General features: G+C 38.5%; 1 long non-coding RNA gene across 3 annotated transcripts in view; it reads left to right on the forward strand.

The window, feature by feature from the left end:
- Positions 1 to 443: 443 nt before the first annotated feature.
- The window catches only part of LOC105374039 (uncharacterized), a 177,487-nt gene continuing 165,400 nt past the window's right edge, over positions 444 to 12,530 (forward strand). For 2 of the 3 annotated variants that reach the window (XR_001740846.1, XR_007096275.1), the window contains exons 1-2: positions 444 to 529; positions 1,709 to 1,845. This is a non-coding gene — a long non-coding RNA (uncharacterized LOC105374039). Of the gene's footprint in view, positions 530 to 1,708; positions 1,846 to 2,704; positions 3,187 to 12,530 lie in introns of those variants that run through there. The other variant, XR_001740847.1, reaches the window with a different exon arrangement.

Raw genomic sequence — 12,530 nt, forward strand, 5'->3', positions numbered from 1 at the left:
GACTAGTCTCTGTATGTAGGACGTGCCCTGGATTTCTGCCACATCCAAAGCCCTACCCAGAAGCCCAGGCTCTGCTAGGGTCTATACTGCTTAGTTCCTATCACCATCACTGGTGATGTATTTGGTGGTGGAAGGCTAGACACTGTCTCTGATTTCTGGTTGTTTCTTCTCTCAATGGGCAGGTGATCAGAAACTATGACTGTCACGAAGCTGATGGCCACTAGCTCCTGCCATCTGTCCTTCTGTTCTGTGACCACTTCTCACTGGACTGCCTTGTATATTGATGATGGCAGTTCAAACTAAGAATGACTTCATCTGTTCATGATATAGGACAGAAGTGCTAAGAAAGGCACTATTTCTGGTCATCATATGTTAATGGCCATGCCAGTATCTTCTAAATGTAATCATACTATCCCTGTTTTCTTCATTTTTTTCCTAGAGCCCAGTGCAGCTGAAATCCTAGAAGACCTCACAACTGTGTTAAATTTTCACAGCTGACCACTTAAAGGCAGTTCTCTTCAAATAAGAGGTGAGAAGACCTGGAGTCTGGAGCAAACTGACATATATTTATTTCCTCCTACTCTGGAAGGTTGGGCTCCCAGTCATCTTTTCTGCAAAATATTTGACTCAGTAGACCCTGGAAATGCAATATATGGGTATTCAACCTGTAGATCCTGAGAGGATTAATGGTTGAATAATGTGCAAAGCCTTAACTGAAAACAAAACAAGAATAAATAAGAATGACTATGAAGAGTATGATTTCCTTGTGGTTTCTTCATCATGAGACACAGACGAGGATTCTTTAGAAAATTAAGGTTGATTTCAAAAGGAAACTTCTCTTTCAAAAGGAAAATTATCTAAAAAACATCATAGGTTGAAAGTCAAGTGTGGGACACCTGATTCTTCTATGTTTGCTACATAGCAGAGATGGATCTGACTTGTACCTTGCAAAAGGGAATTACCTAACATATTAATGTGTTCTAGAACCCTAGGATGGTTCCAAACATTGACCCTGGCCATGATGTTTCAGAGGGTTAGATTTGGCATGAAGGACAGAGCCACACAAGTTTGCTGTCATCCACTAAGCTATCAGAATTAACATGCTTTCTACATTAGCACCGGATGGCAAGCAACATTGTTGAGAAACATGCCTTTGATTACTATTTGGTTTTCATAAATGTCTCTCCCTACTTTTGTCACCTATATTAGGATTTGGTTAATGATTAAAAAAAATTAACTAGAATAAGTAAAAAGAGAAAGAAGGAGGCTATGTTGGGCAAAACAAGCAGATGGGATTAAAAAACAAAGTCATTTAGACTGAAAGAACCTCAAAGAAAGACCCAATGATGAAACACACACAAACATGCACATACACATACACATACACATGCCCATGCACATATATACATCTACTTATAGGAACTAATTGTATATTAATTCCATGCCTCAGAACATGGAACACACCACTGAGTTATGGGCAAGGGTCCTGGAAGCAGCATCAGTGCCTCTGTTTAGATTTCTGCTCTCTTTGACATCTCTACATCTTGGAAACAGTATGTTATAGAGTAATAATAATACCTAAGTTTATTGTGCACTTGTTATATTTCAGGCCTTGTATTGAACACTGTATGTGTATTAAATCTTTTATATACAACTACAAGTAAGGTTTCAGATCCCATGGTCTTTTTTTTTTTTTTTTTTGAGACAGAGTCTCACTCTCTCACCCAGGCTGGAGTGCGGTGGCACGATCTCAGCTCACTGCAACATCTGCCTCCCAGGTTCAAGAGATTCTCCTGCCTCACTTACATAGATGAGTTTGATAACAGTCAAGCTGAAACTAAAAAGGTAAGATCGTGGTTATGAAAAATGATTCAGATCTGAGTTCAGTTCCAGCTCCGTCACTGATTACCAGTGGGATTCCTCTGCATTTGTCAAATGCAGCATCCACATCATAGAATCACTGTAATGATTAAATACTTTATATTCAATACTTAAAACATGGGAAATGATAAATGTTATTATATTAAATATTGTTATTAGAAAAGATATGCAATGCAGGAGATACACCAAGTTTATCTTTGAATTTTAATTTGTGCTGTTTTTGGGTAGACATAAATCCTAGCTCTACCTCTTACTGTGTGAACAAGTTATTTACCACCACCCCCCAGACTTCAGCACTCTCAGATTTAAAATGGTGACTACAATAATACCTACTCCATAAGGTTGTTGTAAGGATAAAATAACACATACAAATTACCTGGCACAGAGTGGGCACTTAAATATTATTTAGAAATCAAAGCATGCAAAAATAGCTAATATTCTTCATGTGTCAGTTCCAGATACTCAGCTAATTAGATAAGACAATTATGAGAAAAATTGAATAAATTTTATTTTTGGACCTTATTAAACTAAAAGTCCCTTTCTATCTTAAAAATTGCACTTGTGGAAGATGATCCCTTTGAATTATAATTAAATAGACTCATCTAAATAATTAAACAATAGGGTATCTATGTATAGCAACTATTTGACAGTTTTTATCTATTTTAAAGACTTATGGGTGCATACTATGCAAATGGATTTTCAGGGATTTTTATTAGCATAAATAGACTGCGCAATTTAAGTAACTTAAGCAGCACAGACAGTGTGAGTCACAGTATTTTCATTTTTCTTGAATACCTTGAGTTTTATGACAGCCTTGTTTCAGGAACCAGTAACAACGGGGCTTTTGAAGGATCCAGATCTTAAAACACGAATTGCACAGAGCCCTTGTTACCTCTCAGATGCTCAGAAACACGAGGAACACCCTCTCTCTGCCCACAGAGTTTAATGAAGATGAAGCAATGTTTTCCTATTTTGCATGATGAACAAAACAGCAGGTTTGTCAGATGAACTGGAAACTGTACTTTCCTTGATACCAAGCCAGAGGTTTCTTGACTTAATCGACTAATATTTCATAGTCAGTACTTCTCACTGCAGAAATCATAGCTGTGGTCGGGATCAGAGAACAGAATCCAAGAGCAAATGAATCTTTTATTACAAATCAAAATAGCAAATTGACTGAGAAACATAGTATCTTTGTACTCTTGAGTTCTATGTACCTTCTCACAGAAACAGTGAAACATGTGAGTTGTATGTTATGCATTTATTTAAAGGAAAAACTTCTCAAAACAAAACATGACATTCCTACCCTCAGGCTTTTTTTTTTTTTGTCTTTCATAGAATCAGATAAAGAGAAAGAACATAGAATCTTGGTATAAATCATTTTGTCTAGTTTGAAGCAGCAGCTATGAGAAATAACTATTTGAACACCCACACTCTCAGTCTCTCATTTGCTCTCTTCCACTTCTCTACACTGACCTAAAATCTCCATACCTATGCTATGGTCACACGTACAAGGGTCCAGGTCTTTATCATTTCTCATACTGTTAGCTCATCTTCACTCTGTTCCAACAAATGCAAGGGCAGCCACACCTTGAAATTTATCTTCAGGCCTCCATGCATCAACTTGTGTAACTTAGACTTCAAGCTTCTCTTTAATTGACTTTCTGTCTCTCCTTTCTCACTCCCATTGCTCTTTACCTTGACAGTTATTGGAGAGTAGTGAAAAGGGCATGAACTGCATTATTAGACCCAAGTTTGAATGCTGGCCTCATACTTCTCTGATTGTTCGTAAGTTATCCAACCTCTCTACATCTCCATTTCTTCCACTTATAAAATAGTGATACTGTTGCATATCAGAATAAGTACACATTAAACATTAGCTTTTCTCCGCTTTTCCTGTTCTTTCTTTCCTTCCCTTCTCTTCCCTTGTGCCTTTCCCACAAAACCTCTGAATTTCTGGGCACTTCCATTTTGTCTTTAGTCACTTCTAACTAAGTGTGTGTCTCAGTCTGGCCTGGACTCTGTGGTTCACATTTCAAATCTACACGCACTAGATCCTGAGGTTCTGTCCCCCTACTCTCTGCCATAATAATTTTGACAATTTTTGGCCATGGTTAATCCAAGCATCCATTTACTCTTGGTATTGAGTGTTGATGGCTCAAATCACACATCAATCCTTCATACTGATTTTTAGTGGTGATTTCAGAGAATGTTCTATCATAACAGACTCTTTTATTGCAAGTGAGCCCTGACATACTTGGGTTGAAATAAACTAACATTCTCTTTTTGACTCATTTGTTGGTATGATGCAACTGACATTCAACTTGACTAGAAAAACATGTAGGAAATACAGGAAAAATGAGAGTTTTACAGCTGATCAAGTAGTTTATAGCAGAACTTTACTTAACGGAAAATTATGGCCCTACTGATGGCCCCCAAATTGCTCTCTCAGTAGAGCCCTAAAAATTGCCAATCTTTTCTTTTATTGCCAGCTGACTCCTTATTTCACTCTTCAGCCCAGCATCTCTTCAAATCTCTTTCTACTCTTCATTAGCAGCCAACTCCACACCAGACTGCACTCCTTAATTTTAGCCATTCTGATAGGTTTGTAATAGTAACTGTAATTATTTGCTAGGACTGTTATAACACAGTATTATAGACTAGGTGATTTAAACAATGGAAATTTGTTTTTTCACAGTTACAGAGGCTGAAAGTTCAAGATTAAGGTGTTGGGAGGTTGTTTCTTCTGAGGCCCCATTCCTCGGCTAACAGATGGCTGCTTTCCCTCTGGCTCTTCACAAAGTTGCCCCCCTGTGCACATGTGCTCCTGCTGTCTCTATGTCCCAATCTCCTCTTATAGATAGTGGATTGGATGAAGGCCTACCAGAATAGGTTTAAGTGGAATGGATTAAGGTCTACCAGAATGGCCTCATTAACCTTAATCACCTCTTTAAAGGCCGTATCTCCAAGCCTAATTATATTCTGAGATACGTGAGCTCTGTAAAGTATGTGACTGAGGTGTATGATGAGAGTTTTAACATATGAATTGGGGGAAGTGAGATGAAATTCAGCTGATAACATTATATATTTTTGTTTTGTTTTATTTTCTGGAGGCAATTCCGCATGTATCTTTTGCATTTCTGAACAACTTTTGAGCAGAGGCACTGAGTGCACTTTTATTCTGGCCTATTTTTTTTTTTATAGCAAACAGTCTTGGAAGATAGAGAAGGCCTCCTGGTCAGTCATGCTTATTGTCCAGTATAAAGTATTTAAGTTTTCTAAGCTCAGAGTTCCTCAGTTTTGCTTCAAATAGACAAATTGCATAGGCAGTATCCACCATATCCCTTTCTCACCACCTTGTGGGACTTGCAGGAAAAGGGAAACTGAACAAATGTTATATTTCTGCTACTTCCTGTGCCTTGATAAATACAATTCTTTGTATCTACTCAATCTTACATCTTCTGCCAAGATCCATGAAACAGTAATAGGCTAGATTATTAGCATGCAAGTAAAGTCCCAGGCCCTTCACAGTCTATGATTGCTTTAAATTTCATGTCCCTAAAGACTCATGATGTTAAGCATCTGCTCGTGTGCTTACTCGCAGTTCACATATCATTTTGATGCATGACTACTTGAATATTTTCTCCATTTTATTATTATCATTGAAATTTAAATGTTTTTTTGTATAGTGGTCCCCACTTATCTGTGGGTAATATGTTCCAAGAGCCCCATGGATACCTTAAACTATCATGCATAGTATTGAACCCAACTGCCATCATTTCTGTTCATGTCTTAACACCCCACAAATTTGATGCTTTTTCTATCTTAGCTAAATACTTATTGTGCACTGTGACCATAACTTTTACAGTTTGAGGCACAAGTTAAAAACTTTCACGTTTCTTTTTCCTTCTTCACAATTTCATGAATAGAACACTTGTTGTAGATATTAGCAACCTCAGAATACAATTATTTTCCTTATTAAGTTAAGAACTTCCACTTTTCACTTAAAGAAAGTACTTTCCTGCTTCTCTCTGAATATTTGAACCACCAGCATCACTACTCTTGCACTTTGGGACCATTATTAGGTAAAATAAGGATTACATGAACACAAGCACTGTGATACCATGGTGGTCAATCTGATAAGTGAAAAGGCTACTAAGTGATTAATGGGTGGGTGACAGAGACAGAATGGACAAAAGGATGATTCATATCCTGGGCAGGTTGAAGTGGAACAATGTGAGATTTCATCATGCTACTCAAAAGGGCATGCAATTTAAAACTTACACATTTTGGGGAACCTAATTAAACTTAAGAGCTTCTGCACCACAAAAATAAAACAAACAAACAAAAAAACTATCAACAGAGTAAACAGACAACCTATAGAATGGGAGAAAATATTTGCAAACTATGCATCTAATAAAAGTCTAATATTTAGCATCTATAAGTGACTTAAAAATTTTTGCAAGAGAAAAACAAATAACTCTATTAAAAAGTGGGTAAAGGAACATGAACAGACACTTTTCAAAAGAAGACATACATACAGCCAAGAAGCATATGAGAAGAAGATAAGTATCACTGATCATTAGGGAAATGCTAATCAAAACCACAGTGAGATACCATCTCACACCAGTCAGAATAGTTATTATTAAAAAGTCAAAAATAACAGATGTTGGTGAGGTCATGGAAAAAGGGAACACTTATACACTAATGGTAGGAGTGTAAATCAGTTCAACCTTTGTGGAAAGCAGTGTTGCAATTTCTCAAAGAGCTAAAAACAATGCAACCCAGCAATCTCATTACTGCGTATATACCCAGAGGAACAGAAATCATTCCACCCTAAAGACACATGTACATAGATGTTTATTGCCTCCTGAAATATGCAGACATCAATGTAAAGATGTAATAGTTGTGAAAAATCAGGGAAATATTACACCACCAAAAGACTCTAACAAACCTCCAATGATGGAACCAGAAGAACTAAATATCTATAAATGTCAGGCGCAGAATTCAGAATAATCTTCTTAAAAAGATGAGGGAATCATAAGAAAATGAAAAGAAAAAAATAAATAAAATTTGAGAAACAATCTATGAGCAAAATGAGAAATTTGACAAAAATAAATAAATAAATAAATAAATAAATCTTAGAAATAAAGAATACAATAACTGAGGTGAAAAACTTGTTAGAAAGCTTCGCACTTTGGGAGGCCGAGGCGGGCAGATCACAAGGTCAGGAGATCGAGACCATCCTGGCTAACACGGTGAAACCCCATCTCTACTAAAAATACAAAAAAAATTAGCTGGCGTGGTGGCAGGCAACTGTAGTCCCAGCTACTCGGGAGGCTGAGGCAGGAGAATGGCATGAACCTGGGAGGTGGAGCTTGCAGTGAGCCCAGATCATGCCACTGCACTCCAGCCTGGGCACAGAGCAAGACTTCATCTCAAAAGAAAAAAAGAAAGCTTCAACAGCAGAAATGAACATAGGAAATATTAGCAAGCTAGAAGACAAAGCATATGAAATTACCCAATCCAAGGAGCAAAAAAAAAAAAAAATACACAAAAGAGAAAAAGGCTTACAAGACTTATAAGACACCATCAAGTGAAGTAACCTACACATAATAGAAATCCCTGAAGGTAAGAGACAAAAAGAAGACCCAGAAAGCATATTTCAGGAAATAATGGCTGAAAAATTTTCAAACTTGGAGAAATATGACACCATCCAGGCACAGAAAGCTCAGAGGTCACCAATCAAATTCACCCAAAAATAAAATTCTTGAGGCACATCATATTAAAATTAGCAAAAGTAAAATACAAAGAAATAACACTACTGGCATCAAAAGAAAAGAAACATATGACATTCAATGAGGCCCTAGTCTGGCTTTCAGGGGATTTCTCAACAGAAGCCCTGCAGTCCAGGAGAGAGTGGGTTTCTATATTTAAAGTGCTGAAGGAAAAATACTGCCAACTAAGAATACTTTACCCAAAAAGCATGAAGGAGAGATGAATACTTTCCTGGACAAACAAAAGCTGAGGGAACTCAACAACACCAGATCTGTCTTATGAGAAATGCTAAAAGGAGTTCTTCAGTATGAAAGAAGGGATGGTAATCTGTAACATGAAAACATCTGAAGGTATGGGCTGGGTATGGTGGCTCATGCCTGTAATCCCAGCACTTTGGGAGGCCAAGGGGGGTGGATCACGAGGTCAGGAGATTGAGAGAATCCTGGCTAACACGGTGAAACCCCATCTCCGCTAAAATACAAAAAAAAATTAGCCAAGCGTGGTGCCATGTGCCTGTAGTCGCAGCTACTCAGGAGGCTGAGGCAGGAGAATCACTTGATCCCAGGAGGTGGAGGTTGCAGTGAGCTGAGATCCGCCACTGCACTCCAGCTTGGTGACAGAGTGAGACTCTGTTTCAAAAAGAAAAAAATAGTGATCAAGGCATGAGTAGTAATCATTTCCTTATAAGTATGAAGGAAAATGTACATATTCTATTTAAAGTCACTACTGCTATTCAAAGTTGTATAGTTTTTTGGAGGCCTGGGTGACAGAGTGAGACTCCATCTCAAAAAGAAAAAAAGAAAACATCTAAACATCTGAAGGTATTAAACTCACTGGTCAAAAAACAATTCAGAATAGTCTATAATTGGGATAAATAACAAGTAACTTATAACTGAGAGGATTTGGAACCAAGTCACTGAGGAGGAAAAGGCTCCCATCCCCGTGTGCCATCTGGCACCCTGCTGGACACAGGCAAGGGAGTGAGAGTGTCACCACTGTAGCTTCCAGAGAAGACAAGGACATCACTGCCTCAGCTGCCGCTACTGCCATTTTCACCTGCAGCCACTTGCCAGTGGATCATGGTGGACAGGAGGCAGGACTAGACTGCAGCTCAGACTTGGGCGAATTAAGCAGTGTGTGGAGGTTTGCATCATGAATTTTTGCCCCAGAAATGACTGCAGGAATAAATAAGGAAACCCTAGAGGACCCACAGGCCCTCTGAAGAAAGCGGATTGTTCCTACAGGACCTGGGAGACACCCCAAATACTGTGGGTGCCCAAAATGTAGAAGTGGGAAAGGGAGATCATCCACCCTTGAACACACACCCTCACTGGGGAAATGAAAGGTCAAGATTACAGGAGAAGATTCTGACCTTACCTGGAGCTGAGACAATTTAGAGAGCTGAGTGAAATTCAGGGGTAGAGGAAGCAGCAGGAGGAAGCCTGTGATCTTGCTCGTTCCCCTAGCAAACCATTTCTGCCTAGCTTCACAGACATCCATTGCAAAGGGAAAGAGGCACTGGGAAAAGGCCACAGAGAGGAGGAAATCTCCAGCTGAACTTTGTAACAATTTGAATTGATCAGGAAGTCTCCTGGCCAGAAGTCAAGGGAGGCTGTGAATCTGGCATGCGGACTCCACAGGCAGGGGAAGAAGAAGAAAAGCCATACTTGCTTTCACAGCTGGGAGGTGGGTAGCCTGGGGCAAGTTCTCAGCCCTGCTTGCTCACTGCCTGGAAACAGGCTAAGTGCTATTGTTGGGGAATGGTGGGAGTGAGACCGCATTTTGGATTCCGTGGGGGCTGGGTGAAGCCTGTGACTGTGGACTTTCCCCCACTTTCCTGACATCCTGCATGGCACAGTAGAGACAGCCATAATCCTTCTAAGAACATAACTCCATTGACCTGGGAACCTCACCGCCACCCCCTCCAACAGCAGCCACAGCAAGACCTGCCCAAGGAGTCTGAGCTCGGATATGCCTAGCCCTGCGTCCACTCAATGTTCCTTCCTTACCCACCCTGGCAACTGAAGACAAAGGACATATACTCTTGGGAGTTCTAGGGCTCCACCCACCACCTATTCCTCCCCATACTACCACAGCTGATGCTCTCTAGAAAGTGCCACCTCCAGAAAGGAAGCCAACCAGCACAAAAACAGCACATTAAACCACCAAAGCCAAGAACCCTCACAGGGTCTATTTCACTCCTCTGCAACCTCCACCATAACAGGTGTTGATATCCATGGCTGAGAGACCCACAGATGGTTCACATTACAGGACTCTCTGCAGACAACCCCAAGTACCAGCCCAGAGCCTGGTAGACTTAGTGAGTGGCTAGATCCAGAAGAGATATAACAATCACTACAGCTCATTTCTCAGGAATCCACTTCCACAGGAGAAGGGGGAGAGTCATCAAGGAAATACTCCATGGGACAAAAGAATCTGAACAACAGCCTTTAGCCCTAGACATTTCCTATGGCAGAGCCTACCCAAATGAGAAGAAACCAAAAAACCAAATCTGGTAATATGGAAAAACAAGGTCCTTTAACACATACAGATCACACTACCTCACCAGCAATGGATCGAAACCAAGAAGAAATCTCTGATTTACCTGAAAAAGAATTCAGGAGGTTAGTCATTAAGCTAATCAGGGAGGCACCAGAGAAAGGCAAAGCCCAATATAAGGAAATCAAAAAAAGATAGAAAAAGTGAAGGGAGAAATATTCAATGAAATAAATAGCATAAATTAAAAAACCATCAAAATTTCAGGAAATAATGACACACTTATAGAAATGCAAAATGCTCTGGAAAGTCTCAGCAATAGAATCAAACAAGTAGAAGAAAGAAATTCAGAGCTTGAAAACAAGGTCTTCAAATTAACCCAATCCAACAGAGATAAAGAAAAAAGAATAAGAAAAAATGAGCAAAGCCTCCAAGAAATCTGGGATTACATTTAATGACCAAACCTAAGAATGATAATAATAGTAAGTGTTCCTGTGGAAAAAGAGAAATCTAACAGTTTGAAAACATATTTGGAGAAATAATTGAGAAAAACTTCCCCAGCCTTGCTAGAGACCTAGACATCCAAATACAAGAGGCACAAAGAACAACTGGGAAAGTCATCACAAAAAGATCATCACCTAGGCACAGTGTCATCAGGTTATCTAAAACTGAAACAAAGGGGAGAATCTTAGGAGCTGTGAGACAAAAGCACCAGGTAACCTATAAAAGAAAAGCTATCAGATTAACAGGAGATTTCTCAGCAGAAACCAACAAGTTAGAAGAGATTGAAGCTCTATCTTCAGCCTCCTCAAACAAAACAATTATCTGTGAATAATTTTGTATCCAGCAAAACTAAGCTTCATATATGAAGGAAAGATACAGTCTTTTTCATACAAACAAATCCTGAGAGAGTTTACCCCTACCAAACATGCACTTCAAGAACTGCTAAAAGCCGCTCTAACTCTTGAAACAAATCCTGGAAACACATCAAAACAGAATCTCTTTAAAACATAAATCTCACAGGACCTATAAAACAACGCAATTTAAAAAACAAAAACAAAAAACCAAGGTATACAGGCAACGAATAGTACAATGAATGAAATGGTACCTCATATCTCAATACTAACATTGATTGTAAATGTCCTGAATGCTCCACTTAAAATATACAGAATTGTAGAATGGATAAGAATTCACCAACCAATTATCTGCTGCCTTCAAGAGCCTCAGCTAACACATAAAGACTCACATAAACTTAAGGTAAAGAGGTGGAAAAAGACATTTCATGCAAATGGACACCAAAAGTGAGCAGGAGTAGCTATACTTACAACAGACAAAACAACCTTTAAAGCAACAGCAGTTAAAAAAGACAAAGAGGGACATTATATATGATAAAAAGCCTTGTCAAACAGGAAAATATCACAGTTCTAAACATATATGTGCATAACACTGGAGCTCCCAGATTTAAAAAACAATTACTACTAGAACTAAGAAATGAGATAGACAGCAACACAATAATAGTGGGGGACTTCAATACTCCACTGACAGCACTAGACAGGTCATCCAGACTGAAAGTCAACAAAGAAACAATGGATTTAAACTATATCCTGAAACAAATGGACTTAACAGATATATACAGAATATTCCATCCAACAACCACAGAACATACATTCTATTCAATAGCACATGGAACTTTCTCCAAGATAGATCATATTATAGGCAACAAAATTAGCCTCAATAAATTTTAAAAAATTGAAATTATATCAAGCACTCTGTCAGATCACAGTGGAATAAAACTGGAAATTAACTCCAAAAAGAACCTTCAAAACCATGCAAATACATGGAAATCAAATTACCTGCTCCTGAATGATCATTGGGTTAAAAATTTAAAAACTTATTTGAACTGAACAGCAATAGTGACACAACCTAGCAAAACCTCTGGGATACAGCAAAGGTGATCATAAAAGGAAAGTTCATAGCCCTAAACACCTATATAAAAAAGTTGGAAAGAGCACAAACAGACGATTTAAGGTCATACCTCAAAGAACTACAGAAACAAAAACAAACCAAACCCAAACCAAGCAGAAGAAAGAAAATAACCAAGGTCAGAGCAGAACTAAATGAAATGGAAACAACAACAACAATAACAACAAAGTGAAACATAAAGCTGCTTATTTGAAAAGATAAATAAAATTTCTAAACTATTAGCAAGATTAACTAAGAAAAGAAGAGAGAAAATCTAAATAAGCTCAATAAGAAACCAAATGGGAGATATTACAACTGACGTCACAGAAATACAAAAGATCATTCAAGGCTACTACGAACACCTTTACCCACATAAACTAGAAAACCTACAAGACATGGATAAATTCCTGGAA

The sequence above is a fragment of the Homo sapiens genome, chromosome 3 (genome assembly GCF_000001405.40).
Source record: "Homo sapiens chromosome 3, GRCh38.p14 Primary Assembly".
NCBI lineage: Eukaryota > Metazoa > Chordata > Mammalia > Primates > Hominidae > Homo > Homo sapiens.